The sequence below is a fragment of the Homo sapiens genome, chromosome 8, assembly GCF_000001405.40.
Source record: "Homo sapiens chromosome 8, GRCh38.p14 Primary Assembly".
NCBI lineage: Eukaryota > Metazoa > Chordata > Mammalia > Primates > Hominidae > Homo > Homo sapiens.
Window position 1 is genome coordinate 16,775,190 of NC_000008.11, and position 23,295 is coordinate 16,798,484.

Here is a 23,295-nt window from a genome sequence, read left to right on the forward strand (position 1 = left end):
TAACCCATTTTGGGGGTAAAAAGTTGCTGAGTTCAAAGTCCTAACATCCTAAAGGACTTCTTTCTAAATTAAGTGCCATAAAGTTCTTATCAAAGAATATATGGATTTACGCTATCAAAGGCTTCCATAGAAACCTCTAATTTGACTCAAATGAAAAGTTTAGTCCTTTTAAAATGAAAACATTAAAGCAATAAGGTGAAAGCATCACTTCCATTGATTTAGTAACCAGTGACTTCTAAGTGACTTTTAAATTTGAATCTCTTTTAAAAACCAGAAACAGGCCGGGCACGGTGGTTCACACCTGTAATCCCAGCACTGTGGGAGGCCAAGGCGGGTGGATCACGAGGTTAGGAGATCGAGACCATCCTGGCTAACACAGCGAAACCCTGTCTCTACTAAAAATAAAAAAAACTAACCGGGAGTGGTGGTGGGTGCCCGTAGTCCCAGCTACTCAGGAGGCTGAGGCAGGAGAATGGTGTGAACCCGGGAGGCGGATCTTACAGTGAGTCGAGATCGCGCCACTGCACTCCGGCCTGGGCAACAGAGCGAGACTCTGTCTCAAAAAAATAAATAAATAAAAATAAAAACCAGAAACATACTGGCAAATTCCGGTAGTCTACCTTTATATGGACACTGTATTCTCACTTCAAATCCAGTAGGGCCAAAAGAAAACTCATATTCTCCCTGTTGAACTGGTGTCTTTTTCTGATTCGTCATCTATAACATTTCTGCCATTATATATACACAATGAAGCTTAACAATCTTCTTTATTTCTCCCTTTATCAAAGAGTTCATTGGTTAATCAGTCACTCAGTTCTAAAGATTTTTCTCCACCTTGGGAATTAAATCATATTTCTTCCTGTCCGTTCACACACACATACCACTGAGAAATGCGAGCCCAGGTTACTTTTCTCCCAATCTCCCAAGCTATCTTAATAACAGCCAATCTCCTCATGATTAGGCTCTCACTTTGCCATCCCAATTAAAGTTTTGACCATGTCACCACCAACTTAAAAAACGTTCCATGGTTCTCCAATACCTTCTCAACCTCCTTTTGTTGTTTCAATATCCCCCACGATCTGGTCCAATCTCCCTGTCAACATCATCTCACAAAAGTATACACAGTCAAGCCACAATGCTTTATTCACTATTCTCCAACCACATTTCATGTCTTTCATGATGACACTTCTTCTGTCGAGGCTCCTGTGTTTATTGCCACACTATTCACAGTAGGAAAGATATGAATCAACACGTGTGTTCATCAGGCCCGGCGCAGTGGCTCACGCCTGTAATCCCAGCACTTTGGGAGGACAAGACTGGCGGCTCACGAGGTCAGGAGATCGAGACCATCCTGGCTAACACGGTGAAACCCCGTCTCTACTAAAAATAAAAAAAAAATTAGCCAGGCTTGGTGGTGGGCGCCTGTAGTCCCAGCTACTCGGGAGTCTGAGACCGGAGAATGGCGTGAACCTGGAGGTGGAGCTTGCAGTGAGCCGAGATCACGCCACTACAATCCAGCCTGGGCGACAGAGCAAGACTCCGTCTCAAAAAAAAAAAAAAAGTGTTCATCAATGGATAATGAGATAAACAAAATGTGGTGTGTGTGCGCGCACACACACACACACACACACACACACAGCCATGTAAAAAGAATGAAATCCTGTCTTTTGCCGCAATATGGATGGAACTGCAGGCCATTACCTTAAGTGGAATAACTCAGAAACACGAAGACAAATACCGCATGTTCTCACTTAGAAGTGGGAGCTGAACAGTGTATACACATGGACATACAGTGTGGAATAATAGACACTGGAGATTCGAAAGGGTGGCAGGGTGGGAAGGAGGTGAAGAATAAGAAATTATTTAATGGCTACAATACACACTGTTGGAGTGACAGTTACACTAAAAGCCCAGGCTGCACCACTAAATTAAATATCCATGTAACAAAATTGCACTTTCAACCCTTAAATGTGTACAAATAAAAAAAAGAACATTTCTATTCTTTCCTCTCCTGCTTCATTTCTACATGTTAAATCCTATTTAGCATTCAAGTCTTGGATCAAATATGCTGCTACAAAGCCTTCTTTGGGATTCCGTAAATAATTAATCTCCTCCCTAGATGACTTTTTAGTTATCATTATTTATTATTATTCTCAGTTTATGGTTAATAAATATATTTATTATTTTATTATATAATATTATATATAATTATATAATATTATATAATTATATAATTACTACTACTATTCTCATTTTATACTTATTATATTATTATTGTCATTTGATTACTCTCATTTATGCTTTCTATAAATCCCTTGACAGCAAACTTGCTGTCAAGAAGTTTCTAGAGATTTCTAGAGAGAAGAGTATAAATGAGACTAATGAGCTGACCATAAAATAAAAATGTCATGTTCATTTTTGTTTTCAAACTCAGAGCTCATGGCCTGCTATGGTTTGAATACTTGTGTCCCTGCCAAGATTCACACGATGAAACCTATTCACCAATGTGATGATGGTGGGAGGTATGGCCTTTGAGAGGTGATTAGGGCATGAAGGCAGAGCCTTGATGAATGGAATTAGTGCCCCATGATAAAGGTCTGCAGAGAGCTGCTGCTCCCCTTCCACCATGTGAGACACAGCAAGAAGATGCCATCTATGAGAAAGGGCCTTCACCAGACACTCAATCTGCCAGCACCTTGATCTCGGACTTCCCAGTTCGAGAAATTCTGGAAGAAATTTATTTTTCCAGAAAGGGGAAAAATAAATTTCTGTTGTTTATAAGCTATCCAGTTTATGGTATTTTGTTACAGCAATTCAAACAGACTAAGACAGGCTGTATCAATAATAATTTCTGCATAGTCTGAAAGCTCAATGACAGCAAGAATCAAGTAGGCCTTATTGATCAGAACTGTATCACCACCACTTAACACAGTGCCCTTAGCTAACTATTTTTAATGGATGTTAAATAAAGGAGTAATTACTGAATTGATTTATTTTAAGTCTTCATTGTTAGTTTTAATTTGAAAGACATTTAAAATTCACTATTTGGTCAGAATATGCAGCAATGAATGAAGTTCGAGGAAATTTTATTTATATGTAGTGGCCATAGGGGTGTGTCTTCACATAATGACATCCGTTGCCAAAAGTAATCCAAAAGAAAAAACACACCCTTGATTGGTTATCTGGCATTAAAAAATAAAGTAAGGCCAGGCACGGTGGCTCATGCCTGTAATCCCAGCACACCGGGAGGCTGAGGCAGGAGGATCACTTGAGGCCAGGAGGTCCAGACCAGCCTGGGCAAATGGCAAAACCTCATCTCTATCAAAACTACAAAAATTAGCCAGGCATGGTGGCACAAGTCTGAAATCCTAGCTAGTCGGGAGACTAAGGCATGAGAATCACTTAAACCTGGGAGGCAGAGGTTGCAGCGGGCCAAGATCGCACTGCTGCACTCCAGCCTGGGCAACAGAGTGAGACTTCATCTCAAAAAAATAATAATAGTAACACTAATAACAATTTAATAGTGAAGAGTCTATCTTTGGTTATCATGCATCAACACAAATAATTCATTATTTTGCTCAAATGCCAAGAGAAATTACAGTCATCTCTGTACCCAACTGCCAATAAAGTTTCTAATATCTATGAAATTATGATACACAAAATATCTGTATGAGTTAATATTGCTAATACTTGTGGTGGTTACAAGACAGGGAGATGTTATTGACTTGCTGTAGTTTTATCATTCATGTAGACATGATCTTCAAAGGGTGAGAAAATACAAACGTCTGTAATTTTCTTTTCCTAACTTGTTAATAACAATCATACTTGTTTAATTCCTTCTAGTTTGTAAAATTATTCCATGCATTAACTTATCAAAATAACCAAAAGTCATTGACAGCTGATCCAGAAAATAATGTAGATGGCTGGAGTAGCATTCAGGAAATTCAAGCCTTTAGCTTCCTCATCTGTAAACTAGATAATTGCAATATATGATGTTTGAGGGCCTGTGGGTTCTAACCTTTCATTACTTTTAACAATGTTTGTAAGTTGAGTTAGGGAACTAATCAAAAAGAAAAAGTTTCAGAATGTTTCGAAGTCATGTCAGCCTTCAAGTTAAAATCACAGGCACCTACTCCAGAGTAACTTTTTTTTTAAAGAATGCAACACTTTGGGGGTGTTTACATTCTTTTATGGTTCAACAAGCCTTCAAGTTCACTGTTTTATAGAGCAAATCAATCCAGCCTGGTTTGCTTTGTAAATAAAGTTTTATTGGAACACAGCCACACCCACTCATTCACATATTGTCTATGGCTAGTTTTGCACAAAAATAATAGAGTTAAATAGTTGCAACAGAGACTTTACAGCCCAGCGAAGCCTAGGATATTTACTACCTGGTTCACTGCAAAAAAAGTTTGCCAACCCTTGCTTTAAAACAATAACTTATTTGTATGTATCGTTAAAATGTTAGTTCTTCCACAAAAAAAAAAAAAACTTTAAGAGAAGTGAAGTTATTTCACCTTTTCTGATCAATCCTTGGCAATCTGTAAATTTTGTAAATTTATATCAGTAGCACAAGTTAAATTATTTTTTTAAATTAATTTAAATTTAATTATGTTTCTGTGAAATCTAATATACAATTTTTTACACTCTTCTAACATTTGCAATGTTTGAAAAACACACTTGCAAATAAAACTGCCCAAAATGTCTGTCCTTTGTGAGTTTAGTATTCTGGTGAATCCTGTTCGATAGTATTTTTATTGATCAGTAGAGGGCGTGCTTGACTCAATATAATTGTAGGTACAGCGTGTGCACAATTTAGCCTGGGAACAACAGGTCGACAGCTGCATGAAGAAAGTTAAGGGAGAAATTACTCTATTTTTGTGATGTTAGTGAAAAGGATTAGAATAGCACAAGAAAACTGGTCTATTACCATTTAACTGAAGGTAGTGTTTTCCTCCTGAGAAGAAAATTACTCATCTACTCTTTAGCATTGGTTTACAGGAATCTTGAATATTTTCAACAAGAGAAAGCAACAATTTGGCTACAGAAAACAGGATTTTTTTGTGCCAAGATGATACAGCACATCTTGTGACAGTGGCTACTCTCTCCACCCTGCATCTCTTTGCATTGTTGCCTGTGTACTGATGCCATTAGCATTGACAGAGCCATTGTCCATTGTAAGAAAATATAAAAGAAGATCATTAGAAGTTCAGATTTCTGTAGTGGCTCTCTGGGTTTTTTTATCAACACAGAGGCTGTCTGAAAAGTGAAACATTTCCAAGGAGAATGTGCTGCCGAACTAAAGAATGCTAGGCCCCTAAAAAGAGACTGAAAAAAAACCCACCTACCAGCAGGCTAGACAAAGGGTGCAGGTTGGGGCCTCTTCTTTGAAAGACCTGATTAATGTGAGGTCTTGTTACCTGCTTTATCACTGTTTTGTTATGAGTGAAAGGTTTCAGCATTCTTAATTTGTCTTGCGGATGGGAAAAGGAAAGGCAAACTTGCCTGATGGGGGTCTGAGGGTGAGGTAGATCCATTTGCCCTCAGTGAAAAATAACAGACACAAAAGACACAGGTGATTCTACAGATTCATCCTAAATGTCTTTTTCTGAAAAAGCAGCCAAAAGCACTCATCGTTTAGCCACTTATCTTGAAGAATAAGGTATAGGCTCCAGCAGGTGCAGAAAATAAGTTATTCATTATGCTAAAGCAAAAATAGATTCAAAGAACTAAATAGGAAAAAAAAAATCAGTTTTAGGAATTAAAGAACAGGCATAGAAAGATTAAAATAAGGTAATCATTGTAATTCCCGTTACTTAATAGGTTATTCTAAAGCACATTTTGGCTTCAGGTCTCTAGAAATAATCATCTTCTCATGATATGTGCAATAGTTAAAAATTAATTACAAACAGTTTTCATACCATCTATGAAATTAGAACATATAAATCATGCTTTGGAGTTTTTTAAACGAGAAGCAGAATATGGGCTTTTTACCATATTTTACCTCTGGTTCCCTGAAATTTAAGTCTTATGAAAATATTAGGAGATACATAATATAGTTAATAGCAAATATCCAATATGTATTTTCAGTGAGTGAAGAGAGAAGGATAAGATGCTTATGCTGGATACGTGTTTCATGAACATTGTCCCATGAGGATGAAAACGTAACAGATCATGGTACTTGGATTACTGTATTGCCAGTCACAGACAGCAAGTGAAACATATCATTGGGTTGTAATGTGGAAAATACCCCACAATAAGTAAGCAAATGAGACATAGTATTAAAAATACATGGCGTCTGACCCACATAATTAGCTATTCCACAGATAGTAGCTAGTAGTCATTATCATAGTGTAAGTACAATTTGGTTTGATTGAATTTATTTTGTCACCTTTTTATCAGCATTTTGATCTCATTTCTAATATAAATTATCCTAGCCTTTTGCTAATCATTATGGCTAGACTTTGGCATACATAAGAGAGAAAGTGATTGCAAATACCTATACATACCTTTATGTATCTATATTTGTATGGATACATAAAACTTTTTGCCGTAACAGATTAGTTTTTAGAGGAACGCATTAGCTCAGTGGTTAAATAATAGTTTTTGTTTCTTTTGCAATATTTAATGCCTTGAATAACAAAGTTATACGATTAGATTGTGTATACACTAGGTTGTGAGCTCATTACAAGATGCATGTCTTTCTGATTTTTATATTCCCCAAGCCCAGTAAAGCCTCTGACATGAAAGTCTGCTTTCAAAAAATGCTTACCAAACGAGTGAACCTTGATCAGACACAACCGAACTTTTAAATTATTTCCCTGATTCAACCAGTTATTTTTTATAAAGAAGATATAAATTCCCATTTTTCCAAAGCATCTAACAGCTTCTCCTAGGTCTCATATCGCCTAATCAGCACTCTATATAATCTCTCTGAGTCCACCGTGGAAAGCATTAGTTCAGTCAAGGGAAACTTTTCAATTTAAAGCATGCAACAAGAATTATTGTCTCATGAGGAAGAGGGTTCCATAAGATCAAAAAGAGAGGTAGAAATAAATAAATATATACATACATACTTGTTCTAATGAGACTATCTACAGGTCATGCCTGATTGCCTTGAGCAGTGCAGTGGAAGCATCTTGATGTGGGTGTGAGAGAGGTGTGGGCTTATATCCTCACTCTGCATGAACTTGAGCAGGAAACCTAACCTCTTTGAGACTCAATTTCCATGTCTGGAAAACAATGATAATAATATCTCACTATATTTCCTGAGGCTCCTTGCAGATTCGATGGGCCTTCCTTCTTCCATCTGTATGGAAGCTAGGCATCATTTGGAAGCATTTGTCACTGTTCCAAACCACTAAGGCTTAAAAAGAGAGAAATCACTACATATTGCATGTTGAGCTCAGCAAACTTGCAAACAAATTCCTGCTTTGAGGGCAGTAGCTGAGTCCTTTCGGATTTTCTCAGAAGTCCCAGGACTATCCCCAGAGAAGGCACATTCTCCCTCAGTTTTGTTTTAATTTATTGAGTTAGTAAGCAAGCCCTCATGTGTGGCAGTCACCGTTCCAAGCACTTTGCTAACAATCACTGATTTGATCCTCTGAGGTTAATGCCACCCCATGAAATAGGGCTCTGTGGTCTTGTTCTACCTAGTAATCCCTTCTTCATCCTTAGATAATTCAGCCTTCATTCCTAAAATAAATGTGGAGCGATGGCAGTAGTTGTTAACTACGGGAACAAGCTTTAAGTGTACTACAGAAAATGTAATGGAGAATATTCCAAAAATAATAACTTGGAATTTTATCTTAGGAGAAAAGAAATTTCTTCCACCTCACCACAGCCCTGCGATTGTCAGGAGAAATTTCCTGTTAGCAAGGCCAGATCCAGGAGAAGAGTCCAGATGTCTCTCTGCTAGCCTAAACACCATTTGGCATCTCTTTCCTTTTTACTGAAGCTTTGAAGAAAATAGGAATAGAACCAGATCTAGTAAATTACCTGGGGACTGAAACATCTTTGATATACGTCTTGAGAACATCGCAACATATTTCTTTTCCTCCTTCAGAGCATTAGCTTTGCCGCTTCTCGGAACCCTAAATGACAGAAACAATGACAGACGGATTGGACAGCGAGTCTCGCTTCCCTGGTGCCAAATACAGACCAAAATAGCCTAAGCGCCCCTTTCCAAAGTCTTGAGACTGAAAAAATATATATATGATATGCATATGTATCCATATTTATTTATTAACTACTTGGTTACACTACAGCTGCTTTATTAGAATATTTTAATATCAGATTAATACAGTGGTTATGATAGCAGGCTTGATTAAGAAGGTTACCTTGATTACGATCCAAACTCAACCACTTACTAGCTGTGTAAATCTGGAAAAGTTGTGTAAATCTCTTTGCCTCAGTTTCCCGATATAAAATAATTATAATAGAACCTACCTCAAAAGGGTGTTGTAAAGATTAAATGTTAATGCATCTAAAGTACCTAATACGTACCTAACTCATAGTAAGTACTCAATACATGATAGTGAGAGGTGACAGCGTGCTGGCAGTCCTCAGAGCCCTCACTTGCTCTTGGCACCTCCTCTGCCTGGGCTCCCACTTTGGCAGCATTTGAGGAGCCCTTCAGCCCCCCACTGCACTGTGGGAGCCCCTTTCTGGGCTGGCCAAAGCCGGAGCCCACTCCCTCAGCTTGCAGGGAGGTGTGGAGGGAGGCACGAGCGGGAACCGGGGCTGCGTGCGGCGCTTGCGGGCCAGCTGGAGTTCCGGGTGGGCGTGGGCTTGGTGGGCCCCGCACTCGGAGCAGCCAGCCAGCCCTGCTGGCCCCAGGCAATGGGGGACTTAGCACCCGGGCCAGTAGCTGCGGAGGGTGTACTGTGTCCCCCAGCAGTGCCAGCCCACCGGCGCTGCGCTCGATTTCTCGCCGGGCCTTAGCTGCCTTCCCGCGGGGCAGGGCTCGGGACCTGCAGCCCGCCATGCCTGAGCCTCCCACCCACTCCATGGGCTCCTGTGCGGCCCGAGCCTCCCCGACGAGCACCACCCCCTGCTCCACGGCGCCCAGTCCCATCGACCAACCAAGGGCTGAGGAATGCCAGCGCAGGGTGCAGGACTGGCAGGCAGCTCCACCTGCAGCCCCGGTGTGGGATCCACTAGGTGAAGCCAGCTGGGCTCCTGAGTCTGGTGGGGACGTAGAGAGTCTTTATATCTAGCTCAGGGATTGTAAACACACCAATCAGCACCTGTGTTTAGCTCAAGGTTTGTGAGTGCACCAATCGACTCTGTATCTAGCTGCTCTGGTGAGGACGTGGAGAACCTTTATGTCTAGCTCAACGATTGTAAATACACCAATCGGCACTCTGTATCTAGCTCAAGGTTTGTAAACACACCAGTCAGCACCCTGTGTTTAGCTCAAGGTTTGTAAATGCACCAATCGACAATCTGTATCTAGCTGCTCTGGTGGGGCCTTGGAAAACCTGTGTGTCAAAACTCTGTATCTAACTAATCTGATGGGGAAGTGGAGAACCTTTGTATCTAGCTCAGGGATTATAAACGCACCAATCAGCACCCTGACAAAACAGGCCACTCGGCTCTACCAATCAGCAGGATGTGGGTGGGGCCAGATAAGAGAATAAAAGCAGGCTGCCGGAGCTAGCATCGGCAACTGGTTCAGGTGGTCTTCCACACTGTGGAAGCTTTGTTCGTTCACTCTTTACAATAAATCTTGCTACTGCTCACTCTTTGGGTCCACGCTGCTTTTATGAGCTGTAACACTCACCGCGAAGATCTGCAGCTTCACTCCTGAGGCCAGCGAGATCAGGAGCCCAGCAGGAAGAACAAACAACTCCAGACGCGCTGCCTTAAGAGCTGTAACACTCACCGCGAAGGTCTGCAGCTTCACTACTGAGCCAGCGAGACCACGAACCCACCAGAAGGAAAAAACTCCAAACACATCTGAACCTCAGAAGGGACAGACTCCAGACGCGCCACCTTAAGGGCTGTAACACTCACCGCCAGGGTCCGCGGCTTCATTCTTGAAGTCAGTGAGACCAAGAACCCACCAATTCAGGACACAATAGCAACCTGTGTAACTCTTCTCTCGGGCCATTCACTATAGTTGAGCTAAATTTCTCTTTGTCAAGCAGGAAATGCACTGTTTTCCTAAACTGTTTTTTGAAGCCCACTCGTCCCTGAAGTCCAGCAAAAAGGAATTCTCTTCTTCATTTAATTTTCGGAAACACTATATTTGCCTTGGAAACTCAAAATGCACTGAAATATATTAAGGACTTTGATATATTTGTAATTTAAAAATCTGTTTCATTTTGTTTAACATGATGAATCCCAAATATACAAGATCTCTTGACCCTTGAGTTTAACAGTCACTTACTCATTTTTATTATTTCATCTGTGTACGTTTCGTTTTAAGGTCTTCATTTTCTTGAAATGAGATCATTTCATCTTTCTTTTTTTTTTTTTTGAGACAAAATCTCACTCTGTCGCTGAGGCTGGAGTGCAGTGGCACAATCTCGGCTCACTGCAACCTCTGCCTCCTGGATTCAAATGATTCTCCTGCCTCAGCCTCCCCAGTAGCTGGGACTACAGGTGCCTACCACCATGCCCATCTAATTTTTGTATTTTTATTAGAGACAGGGTTTCACCATATTGGCCAGGTTGGCCTTGAACTCCTGACCTTGTGAGCTACCCACCTTGGCTCCACAAAGTGCTGGGATTACAGGTGTGAGCCACCGTGCCCAGCCAAGACCATTTCATTTTTCTTTAACATACATGGGACAGCAAACTATGGAAAGCACGTAGGTATCCTGAGATGAAGAGATCATTCTGGACTATCCGAGTGGGCCCCTAAAGCCAATCACAACTGTCCTTATAAGAGAAAGGTAGGGGGAGATTTGAGACACAGAAGAGGAGAAGACACCGTACAGGAGAAGGCAATGTGGTCACAGAGGCAGAAATGGGAGGGATGTGGCCACAAGGCAAGGAATACTGGCAGCCACCAGAAGCCAGAAGGGGCAAAGAATGAATTCTCCCCTAAAGCAGGGGTCCCCAGCCTGTTACGTCTGCAGCCTGTTACGAACTGGGCTACACAACAGGAAATGAGAGATGGGTAAGCAAGCAAAGCTTCATCTGTATTTACAGCCACTTCCCATTGCTTGCATTACCCCCTAAGCTCTGTGCCCTGTCAGATCAGCAGCAGCATTCTTCATAGCTTCTCACAGGAGCACAAATCCTATTGCAAACTGAGCATGCGAGGGACCTAGGCTGCAAGCTCTTTATGAGAATCTAATGCCTTATGATCTGTCACTGCCTCCCATCACCCCCAGATGGGACCATCTGGTTGTAGGAAAACAAGTTCAGAGCTCCCACTGATTCTACTTTATGATGAGTTGCATAGTTACTTCATTACATATTAGAAGGTAATAATAGAAATAAAGGACACTATAAATTTAATGTGCTTGAGTCATTCCAAAACCATCCCCATCCCCTGTCCACGGAAAAATTGTCTTCCATGAAACAGGTCCCTGGTGCCAAGAAGTTTGGGGACCGCCGCCCTAGAGTCTCCAGAATAAACATAGCCCTGCTGACTGGATTTCTGATTTCTAGCTTCCAGAACTATAAGAGAATAACTTTCTGTTGTTTGAAGCCACCAAGTTTGTGGACATTTGTTATTGGCAGCCCTAGGAAATTAATACACCCAGTTTCACCGCTGACAAAATGGTTTTAATAAAGGCGCACCTTGCCCTGCCATTGCCCTAACAGTGTTCTGAACATCACATGTGAAAACGTAGGTGAAAAATCTTCCACAGCTTAAAGTACTCACACAGTTGTAGCACTATCTTATTATCGCGATATCGAATTCATGAACCCTCCTCCAACTGAAACAAGAATTCCAAATTTTGGTTGCTTGGCAATTTCTCGGCTTTCCCTTATTCCTTTGTTTCGCTTGGTTTGGCTTGGTTTGATTTTATGAAAACTAGATCCACGATCCTCACTTCCTCCCAGTCAATGCCCGGTATGGCAAACACTGAATTTCCTAGGAAAACCTCAGCCATACCTGTCATCCACTTCCTTCCTATAGAGGATAAATCCACAGAATTGATCTGAACAGGAATTGTTCTTCTGTCAAAACAAATCAAAGCTTAAATCGATATATATATATTTAGATCAAAACAAACCCATTGAAATAACAGGAAAACATTAGGATAAATTAAGAGAATTAATCCAGATTGCAAGGAAACACCTTGCGTTATTAAGTCACTTGCTCTGAGACATTTAATATTATATTTCCATTTTAAAAGATGTACTGGACACATTTTAATGGCATCTGCCTCTTCGGTTTCCAAAAATAAATATACTTGCTTTCCTCAAACTTTTTCTTGAAAACCGCAAGAGCTCAAACCACAAGAACAAGGGCTTTTAAGAGTAACCAAATGCTATTAGAGGCACTGTCTTCCATACAGGGAGACACATGAGAGTCCTTCTTTGTTAAGACTGGCTTCCTTAACTCACTGGAGAAAAGAAGCTGGAAGACGGCACATCTGTCAAGAAGCATATTGAAAGGGCCAACTCGGATACTCTCACTTTCTCTTTGAAACTGTGTCCTTTTCCTATTCATTTCAGCAATTGACTTTACCTACTCCCCGTAGTGATCAAATTTCTCTTTTCTTTTAAAGAATCTTCATTTGATAGAATCTAGACTTGACAATATGCAGCTCCAAGTAGCAAACAATGAGAGTTTCCAAGGCGTCTCTGACTATGGGATTCAAATTGAAATTTATTTCTAGAAAAGGATTCTTCATCTCTCAAAACATCCTAAATGTTATTGGAAATTCAATACATGTGTAGGGAACTTTGCAAAAACCAAGGGGTGTTTTCATTCCAACTCATCTTTTCTGCCACACTTTCACTTCACAGTCCTCACTACCATCTGGTGGCTCTGCCAGCGTTTTTCTCCAAATTGTTTCAATTCTTTAAGTGGGTATGTTGGGAGATCAGGATTGTTTTTCAATTTTATTTATGACTTGCTCTACACGTATCTCAATTTAGTCCATAAGTCTCTGTAAAACTGCCCATTCCCCTATATAACATTGTTCCAAATCTAGGGTTTACAAAAGTAACTCCAATCTAGTGCACCATATTAGCACATCACACACTCTTGTGTAAAGGTAAACAGGTAACAGGTAAAGAATGAGGATCCGACACAGTGGCTAACGTGTGTAATACCAGCACTTTGGGAGGCCGAGGCGGGTGGATCACCAGAGATTAGGAGTTTGAGACCAACCTAGCCAACATGGTGAAACCCCATCTCTACTAAAAATATAAAAATTAGCCTGGCGTGGTGGCAGGCACCTGTAATCCCAGCTACTTGGGAGGCAGAGGCAGGAGAATCCCTTGAACCCGGGAGGCAGAGCTTGCAGTGAGCCAAGATCCCACCACTGCACTCCAGCCTGGGCAACACAGTGAAACTCCACTGCCAAAAAAAAAAGAGAGAATGGGGAAAAGATTTTCAATGGCATGATGAGCCCATTACCATAAGTCTAATGAAATTCCCACAATTTGCCCTACTAGAAACCAGCATTTTATGTCTTACATACTTCACTCTACAGTTTTTAAACATCAGATATGTGTCAGGTATGTGTTTAAGGGACTAGAATATATTAGGGAATTAAAGTAACAAAAATCTCTGCCCTCAAAGGACTTACATTCAAGTGATGGATAGTAGTCAACACTTACTATGCGTCAAGCACCGTTTTCAGTATTTTATATAGATAAATGTATTTAATCCTCACAAGAATCATATGAGATTCATACAACCATTTAAGAGAAAAGAACACTGAGGCACAAAGAGTTAAGTGACTTACTCAGAGGCACAAGAACAAAATCCGTCTCAGCTTTAACCCTCAGAGGAAAATTAAAATGCAAACATTTGCAGAAGAATATGATAAATGCCCAATGCTTAGCTCAGTGCTCAATGTAATCTAAGGAATAAATTCCATCTCCACTGAATTTTTAGAAGACTTTTATTATGCAGTTTCTTTTTACAACCAACACAACTAAAATTATTAACTATTCAATATTTTCCAAGTTTAAAATTATAAAACCAATTAGAAATTTATATTCTAGTACTATAAGAAAAGTATAATTGATAATAGCTTTACTATTGAATTATTGTATTTAGAAAAAAAATAATTTCAGCTCTTACCACAGTTCACAACCGTACATACATTATTATTTGATTAATGTCTATAGCCACTGCCCTGTATTTAGATATGCCGCGTAAACTATCAAGGACTTAGCACAATAGTACAGTGTCTTATATATCAGAAATTTATAGATTTAGCATTGCCTTTCAGTTTCTTCGTGAACATGATGAGGATACTGACTATAGTATTTAGTAGCCAGATTTACTTGCATTGATTTGCTATGAGAATTATGCATAACAAGAAACTCTCCCTGGACAAAGGTACTAATACCTTTAAATAGAGGAAAAAATTGTTTTTTCACCAAATGGTGCTGGAACAATTAGATACCTACATGCAGAGTAATGAGCTTCAACCCTTACCTCACGCCATACACAAAGAGTAACTTGAACTATATTGTATACTTACAAGTAAGAACTAAACTAAACTATAAAATTCTTAGAAGAAAACATAGGAGTAGTGATCTTGGATTATGTAATAATTTTACAAAAGTAAACACAGGAAATAAAGAAAAACATTAATAGGCATCACTGAAATTCAAAACCTTTTCACTTCAAAATATACAATCAAGAAAGTAAAAAGACAAGCCATGGAGTAGAAGAAATGTTTGAAAATCATATCTCCAGTAATAAACTTGTAACTCAAGTATAAAAAGAAAAACTCTTACAACTCCATAATTAAGATGGTAAACAACCCAACTAAAAAGTGGGCAAAGGCTGGGCACAGTGGTTCACACCTCTAGTCCTAGCACCTTGGAAGGTGGAGGTGGGAGGATTGCTTAAGTCCAGGAGTTCAAGGCTAGCCTGGGCAACATAGCAAGACCTTGTCTCTACAAAAAATATTTTTTAAAAAATTAGCCGGATGTGCTGGTGCACACCCGTAGTCCCAGCTACTTGGGAGAATGAGGTAGATCACTTGACCCTGTGAGGTTGAGGCTGCAGTGGGCCATGATCATGCCACTGCACTCCAGCCTGGGCAACAGAATGAGACCCCATCTTTTAAAATAAAAACACTAAAAAAATGGGCCAAAGATTTTAATAGACATTTCACCAGAGAAGATATAGAAATGGCCAATACAAACATTAAAAGAAGTTCATCATTATTACTCATTAGGGACATTCAAATTAAAACCACAATGAGATTCCACTTCACACCCCTAGAACATCAAATGCAGACAATGTTAAGTGTTGACAAGGACTTGGAGAAACTGGAAAGAACCTTCATATTGGTGAGAATATTAAATGGTACAGTCACTTACAGAAAGTTTCTATCAACCTATGCCACCCTAATGAATTGCTATTCTCTACCCTTTAGAATAGAATCAAGACATTCTTTTACTTACAACTTCAGCAAATAAAGACAAATATCCCATGTTTCCCTGTTCCATGGCCCAGGAAAAGCAGCAGTAATTGATCACTGAACTCTCCTCCCACCCAACATACAAAGAGTGTCACAACTTTCCTCAACAGAGAATAATAGGCAATCATTTCTATTTGTCACCTCCTGATACTTTCACTACTTTTTAGACATCCCACCTGCAATCGCCTTCTTTTATGATAATATTACCATTCCTGATCTTACACAGGCTACATAGTAATCTTTTTTTTTTTTTTTTTTTTTTTTTTTCTTCAGAGGGAGTCTCGCTCTGTCACCCAGGCTGGAGTGCAGTGGTGCAATCTCGGCTCACTGCAAGCTCCGCCTCCCGGGTTCACGCCATTCTCCTGCCTCAGCCTCCGGAGTAACTGGGACTACAGGCGCCCGCCACTGCGCCCAGCTAATTTTTTTTTTCTTTGTATTTTTAGTGCAGACGGGGTTTCACCACGGTCTCGATCTCCTGACCTCGTGATCTGCCCGCCTCGGCCTCCCAAAGTGCTGGGATTACAGGTGTGACCCACCGCGCACGGCCGGCTACATACTAATCTTATCTGTGAGCTTTAAAAGTTTTATGAAGGAAAAAATGTCTGGCATATAACCTGAAACTGGACCACAGAAGCTACCATGTAAAAGACCTGGGCCAGGCGTGGCGGCTCATGCCTGTAATCCCAACACTTTGAGAGACCAAGGTGGGAGGATCACTTTAGTTCAGGAGTTCAAGACCAGCCTGGCCAACATGGTGAAACCCCATCTCTAATAAAAATACACAAATCAGCTGGGCATGGTGGCAGACGCCTGTAATCCCAGCTACTTGTGAGGCTGCATCGAGAGAATTGCTTGAACCCAGGGGGCGAAGGTTGCAGTGAGCCGAGATCACGCCACTGCACTCCAGCCTGGGTGACAGAACGAGACTTAAAAAAAAGAAAAAAAAAAATAAACAGAACTGGCCATAAACTTTGCTCTATTAAAAAATATATACACTGTACTAAATTATTAGTGTATCTTATTCTTAGTCAAATTTTGTTTATATCTTTGTCAAATGTAAGACTCAAAATCCCAAGACTTTTTTTATGTAAGAAAATAAATTTCTCTGATGGCCAGTGATGATGAGCATTTTTTCATGTGTCTTTTGGCTGCATAAATATCTTCTTTTGAGAAGTATCTGTTCATATCCTTTGCCCACTTTTTGATGGGGTTGTTTGTTTTTTTCTTGTAAATTTGTTTGAATTCATTGTACATTCTGGATATTAGCCCTTTGTCAGATGAGTAGGTTGCAAGAATTTTCTCCCATTCTGTAGGTTGCCTGTTCACTCTGATGGTAGTTTCTTTTGCTGTGCAGAAGCTCTTTAGTTTAATTAGATCCCATTTGTCAAGTTTGGCTTTTGTTGCCATTGCTTTTGGTGTTTTAGACATGAAGTCCTTGCCCATGCCTATGTCCTGAATGGTATTGCCTAGGTTTTCTTCTAGGGTTTTTATGGTTTTAGGTCTAACATGTAAGTCTTTAATCCATCTTGAATTAATTTTTGTATAAGGTGTAAGGAAGGATCCAGTTTCAGCTTTCTACATGTGGCTAGCCAGTTTTCCCAGCACCATTTATTAAATAGGGAATCCTTTCCCCATCGCTTGTTTTTGTCAGGTTTGTCAAAGATCAGATAGTTGTAGATATGCGGCATTATTTTTGAGGTCTCTGCTCTGTTCCATTGGTCTATGTGTCTGTTTTGGCCATCAGAGAAATGCAAATCAAAACCACAATGAGATACCATCTCACACCAGTTAGAATGGCAATCATCAAAAAGTCAGGAAACAACAGGTGCTGGAGAGGATGTGGAGAAATAGGAACACTTTTACACTGTTGGTGGGAATGTAAACTAGTTCAACCATTGTGGAGGTCGGTGTGGCGATTCCTCAGGGATCTAGAACTAGAAATACCATTTGATCCAGCCATCCCATTACTGGGTATATACCCAAAGGATTATAAATCATGCTGCTGTAAAGACACATGCACACGTATGTTTATAGCGGCACTATTCACAATAGCAAAGACTTGGAACCAAGCCAAATGTCCAACAATGATAGACTGGATTAAGAAAATGTGGCACGTATACACCATGGAATAGTATGCAGCCATAAAAAATGATGAGTTCATGTCCTTTGTAGGGACACAGATGAAGCTAGAAACCACCATTCTCAGCAAACTATCGCAACGACAAAAACAATCAAACACCGCATGTTCTCACTCATAGGTGGGAACTGAACAATGAGAACACATGGACACAGGAAGGGGAACATCACACACCGGGGACTGTGATGGGGTGGGGGGAGGGGGGAGGGATAGCATTAGGAGATATACCTAATGCTAAATGGCGAGTTAATGGGTGCAGCACACCAACTTAGCACATGTATACATATGTAACAAACCTGCACATTGTGCACATGTACCCTAAAACTTAAAGTATAATAATAATAAAATTTTAAAAAAAGAAAATAAATTATAAAATCCATATATTAGCTCTGCAATAATTCTTAGGGCAATTTTTATTATTATATGAGTCATGGACAGTCTCATAAAATACTGTATATTTAAGCTGGGCACATTGGCACACATCTGTAGTCCCAGTGGAGGCAAGAGGATCTTTTGAGGCCAGGAGTTTGAGACCAGACTGGGAATATAGTGAGAACCTATCATTGCTCTCTCTAAAAAAAAGAAAGAAAAGAAAATTCTACACAATGATCTAATGTTAGAATTACCCAAGAAAAATAAAGAATAGACAGACCCTTTAAAAATCTTGACATTAGATCTCACTGCTTCAAGCTTCTTTATACAGTAAACTTTTATTGCTTTTTTTGTTGTTGACTCATATATGTCAGACTCCATTTGGACATCACTACCTTTAACAAGCTATTTTGTACCTCTACTATCATTTGTGAAAAAAAATCAGAGCTTCAGTGTTATTTCTCTACTTAACTCTAGTTCATGACCCTTTGTGTTGAGGTTATAATTGTTGCTGAATCTCATAGAGATATTCATAGGAACTTTTTTTTCTTTTCTTTCTCAACCTAAATAGAACTCGCACCCTTGAAATCACCTGCCGGGTTCTTTGTTTTCAACTGCCTTAAACCTTACACTATATCCTCCATAGCTAAGTACAAAATCATGTAAGGCAGACCAAATTTCCTGGAGCTAGTTTAAATGGTACTGTATTCAACAATATTGTAAGTCAAATTGACCTGAGGCAATATAATACACGGTCAGAGTAATAGAAAGTGAGATAAAAGTCTTCATTAGGGATCAAATAACTATTACCTTATCCATTTGGAGTGTTCTTTTGAGATGCACTTAATACACTTCTATCTGTTGATAACAGCAACCCTGAATTAGAAAAAAAATAGTGATCTGTTCCTATTGAAATGATACCTTAGGCACCTGTTGCCCACAGAAAGTAAACAGGAGGAAACAAATAAATCTGAGATCTGGGCTGTTTTGCCCAAATCACATCATTTCAAGGCACTCTGTGCCATGGGTTGCCGCCTTTGTAAAATATTCACCCTGCACAGTTTGTTTTGGTGCTCCACCTCCCCCTGTGTTGCTAATATCAGCCTGACAAAATACGCAATTAGGCTCCTCTATCTTAGCATAGTTCTTTTGACAAGAAACAACACTGTGAACCTCTGTGTTAACATGAACAGGTGATAAAGGGGGTCAAATAGCCAATCGCAGCTGCCAATAGGAGAGTTTCATGAAACATGCAAATCTCAAAGCCAGCTATTTAGCTGAAGCCCCAGGGAGCGGAGTTTGCTTTCTAACTCTCATTGTGTTCTCCTCTTCCCAGTCCTGCCACAAGCCCTTTCTCTCTATATAGCTTGGCAGCCCATTAAAGCAAAAAATGCTTTAGTCGCTGAAGCAATAAAGTTGAATAATTGCTGCCTTGAGTCTTTCTCCAACTCATTTGAAGGATGACCATTGTAAGATAGATTTACTTCTGGTAAATGATCTACCTTAAAGAGTGGGTTATAGAACAGCCGGGACTAGCTTGGCAAAGTTACTGGCAATGGCTGTGAAGTGGCAAGTAAATTGCCTAAAGAGAAGCAACTGCCTCAGTTACCAGGGCTCTGCCAAACCTTCATGAGCAATATGGTTTGCCTTGCACTGCTGCTAGCATTTGCTAGTGAATGTCAGGTTTTTTGCTTTACATGAACTCATGAAACAATTGCTTTCATAGGCAAAGACAATCATCTGGTCACTCAAGACTAATTATGAGTTACCCTGGGATCATAGGGGCAAAGAGTGCAGGAAATTTCTCACTTTGCAATTTCCTACCTACCCTAAAGTCATTTCGAATCTAATAGGAGAGATGAAAGCATAAATAATTCTAACTCTACCAACATACATGGAGGTATATAGCTTGCACAGGGCACTCCGTGGGCATATGCATTCTCCTTTTTCTTTTGTTTGTTTGTTTTTGAGACAAGGTCTTGGTATATCACCCAGGCTGGAGTGCAGTGGCACAATCATAGCTCACTGTAACCTCAAATATCAGGGCTCTAACAACCCTCCCACCTCAGCCTCCCAAGCAGCTGGGACTACAGACACATGCCACCACACTGGGCTTCCATGTGCATTTTCTTATTTGATAAACGCAGGCTCTGCCATTTGCTAATTATGTGACTATTGTGAAATTACCTACTTTCTTCTTGCCTACATTTTACCAGTTCTAAAGCTAGAGCACTACCCTCTAATGTCCTTGTGAGAATTAAATGAGAAATTGCAAGAAAAAGCAAAAAGCCTCATACCTAGTAAGCATTTGATAACTGTTAGCTTTTTAAAATTCTAATAAAGCATGTAGCAGAAACACAAAAACATACAAAGACTCTTATGTAGCTCTCTGGAATTAGAAATTAATATAACTGAAATGGATAGAACCTTACAGTGAATAGAGCAATGCACAACTTTCTATGAAGATTTCAAGAAACAGAATTAGTCTGATGGAGAAAAATGAAATAGATTTCTGGGGGAGTCAGAGGGGGGAAAACATTTTAATGAATATAAGAAATGAGAGTTGTTAAATTGTCAACTCATGCTAGAATGAAACCAAGAAAGTCAGTTTAATCCACTTAAATGACAATTACAGTAGTCTTCCCTTACCCAGTGGAGATGGGTTGCAAGATCCCCAGTGGATACCTGAAACCACGGACAGTACTAAACTCTATATATATACATACATGCATGAATTTCTTCTTCCTTCTTGACAGTTTCACTGATAGAAGATTGTTTTTCACCGTAAATCTTAGCCACCTCAGCACATGACTTCTTTTTTCTTTCCTTATTAAGTCAAGAACTTTTGCCTTTTCTCTTTTTAAAAAAATAATATTTTTAATTTTTGTGGGTTCATAGGAGTATATATTTATGGGGTACACAAGATTTATTTGTTGTTGTTGTTTTTTTTTTGAGACAGAGTCTCACTCTGTCGCCCAGCCTGGAGTGCAATGATGCAAACTCGGCTCACTGCAACCTCCGCCTCCCAGGCTCAAGCGATTCTCCTGCCTCAGCCTCCCAAGTAGCTGGGATTATAGGCACCCACCACCACGCCCAGCTAATTTTTGTATTTTTAGTAGAAATGGGGCTTCATCATGTTGGCCAAGCTGGTCTCAAACTCCTGACCTCAAGTGATCCACCCACCTCGGCTACTCAAGTTCTGAGATTACAGGAATGAGCCACTGTGCACCGTCTACATAACATTTTTTGAAACAGGCATGCAACGTGTAATAATCGCATCATGTGAAATCGGGTATCTATTCCCTCAAGCATTTATCCTTGTGTTACAAACAATCCAATTACACTCTTTTATTTAAAAATGTACAATTAAATTATTGTTGACTATAGTCACCCTGTGCTATCAAACACTAGGTTTTATTTATTCTATTTTTTTGTACCCATTAACCTCTGGGAAACATTCTTCTAATCTCTATGTCCAGGAGTTCAATTGTTTTGACTTTTAGATCCCACCAGTAAGTGAGAACACACAATATTTGTCTTTCTGTATCTGGCTTATTTCACTAAACAGCCTCCAATTCCATCCACATTGCTGCAAATGACAGGATCTCATTCTTTTTCATGGCTGAATTGCACTCCACTGTGCATATATACCGCATTTTCTTTATCCATTCATCTGTTGATGGACACTTAGTTTACTACCACAACTTGGCTATTGGGAACAGGGCTGCGAAAAACATGAGAGTGCAGATATCTCTTCGAAGTACTGATTTCCTTTCTTTTGGGCATAGGCCCAGGCCCAGCAGGGGGATTGCTGCATCATAGGGTAGCTCTATTTTCAGTTTTTTGAGGAACCTCCAAGCTGTTCTTCAAAGTGGTTGTGCTAATTTACATTGCCACTGACAGTATACAAGGGTTCCCTTTCTCCACATGCTTCCCAGCATTTGTTATTGCCTGACTTTGGGACAAAAACCATTTTAACTGGGGTGAGATGATATCTCATTGTAGTTTGGATTTGCATTTCTCTGATGATCCATGATGTTGAGCATCTTTTCATATGCCTGCTTGCCATTTGTATGTCTTCCTTTGAGAAATGTCTGTTCAAATATTTTGCCCATTTTTTGACTGGATTATGAGATTTTTTTCCTATAGCGTTGTTTAGCTCCTTATGTATTCTGCTTATGAATCCCTTGTTAGATGGGTAGTTTGCAAATACTTTCTCCCATTCTGTAGGTTGCCCCTTCACTTTGTCGACTGTATTCTTTGCTGTGCAGAAGCTTTTTAATTTGATATCCCATCTTTCCATTTTTGCCTTGGTTACCCCAACACACAAACACTTTTTTCTGAAAGGCAGCATTTCAAGGCTTTCATTTGCCATATCTACATTGCCAGCACCACTATTCTTGCACTTTGGGGCCATTATTAAGTAAAACAAGAGTGACTTGAACACAAGCACCACAATACCATGACAGTCCATCTGACTACCAAGAAGGCTACTAAGTAACTAACGGGCAGATAATGCAGACACCACGGAAATGCTGGACAAAGGGATGAGCCACATCCTGGGCTGGATGGAGCAGGTTGGCAAAAGATTTCCTCAAGCTACTCGGAACAGCGAGTGATTCAAAATTTATGAATTGTTTATTTCTGGAATGTTCCACTTATATTTTTAGATCTCTGTTGATCTTGAGTAATTGAAGGATCAGAAAGCAAAAGCACAGATCATGGAAGACTACTGTAGAGTTCACCCTTCAACAACACAGGTTTGAACTGCACGGGTCCACTTATATATGGATTTTTTTCAATAAGTACACAAATACAGAATGGACATGACTCCAATCACAGTCAAAAGACACATTAATGCAATATTAAATCATAACTGCATAAAATTAACTGGTACATACTTTACTACTGTAATAATTTTGTAGCCACCTCCTGTTGCTGTTGCAGTGAGCTCCAGTGTTGTAAGTATCCATTTAAAAAGTCATGTGTCACTAATCATCTAACATTGAGTTGTTCCTCTCTCCGGTAAATTGCACAGTAAAAAGTGACCTCTCGTGGTCCTCCCATATTTTTCATTGTGTTTAGTGCAATACCATAAGCCTTGAATAACACCATGGGACCCATACGAAGTGCCAATAGTGATGCTGGAAGTGCTCCCAAGGAGCAAAGTTGTGACATTACAAGAAAAAGTTGAATCTCTTGATA

General features: G+C 39.9%; 1 long non-coding RNA gene across 1 annotated transcript in view, besides 1 other annotated feature; it reads right to left on the minus strand.

Moving 5' to 3' along the window:
- Positions 315–462: a silencer, noted in NCBI's record as "fragment chr8:16633013-16633160 (GRCh37/hg19 assembly coordinates)". NCBI's record gives its function as "represses an EF-1alpha promoter that drives an FKBP-Casp9 reporter gene in an ReSE screen in K562 erythroleukemia cells {active_cell/tissue: K562}" and the evidence as "EXISTENCE:reporter gene assay evidence [ECO:0000049][PMID:32094911]".
- Positions 8,026–23,295, minus strand: part of LOC105379297 (uncharacterized) — a 132,858-nt gene continuing 117,588 nt past the window's right edge. Inside the window, exon 3 of the long non-coding RNA XR_949525.1 lies at positions 8,026–8,093. This is a non-coding gene — a long non-coding RNA (uncharacterized LOC105379297). The remainder of the gene's footprint in view (positions 8,094–23,295) is intronic.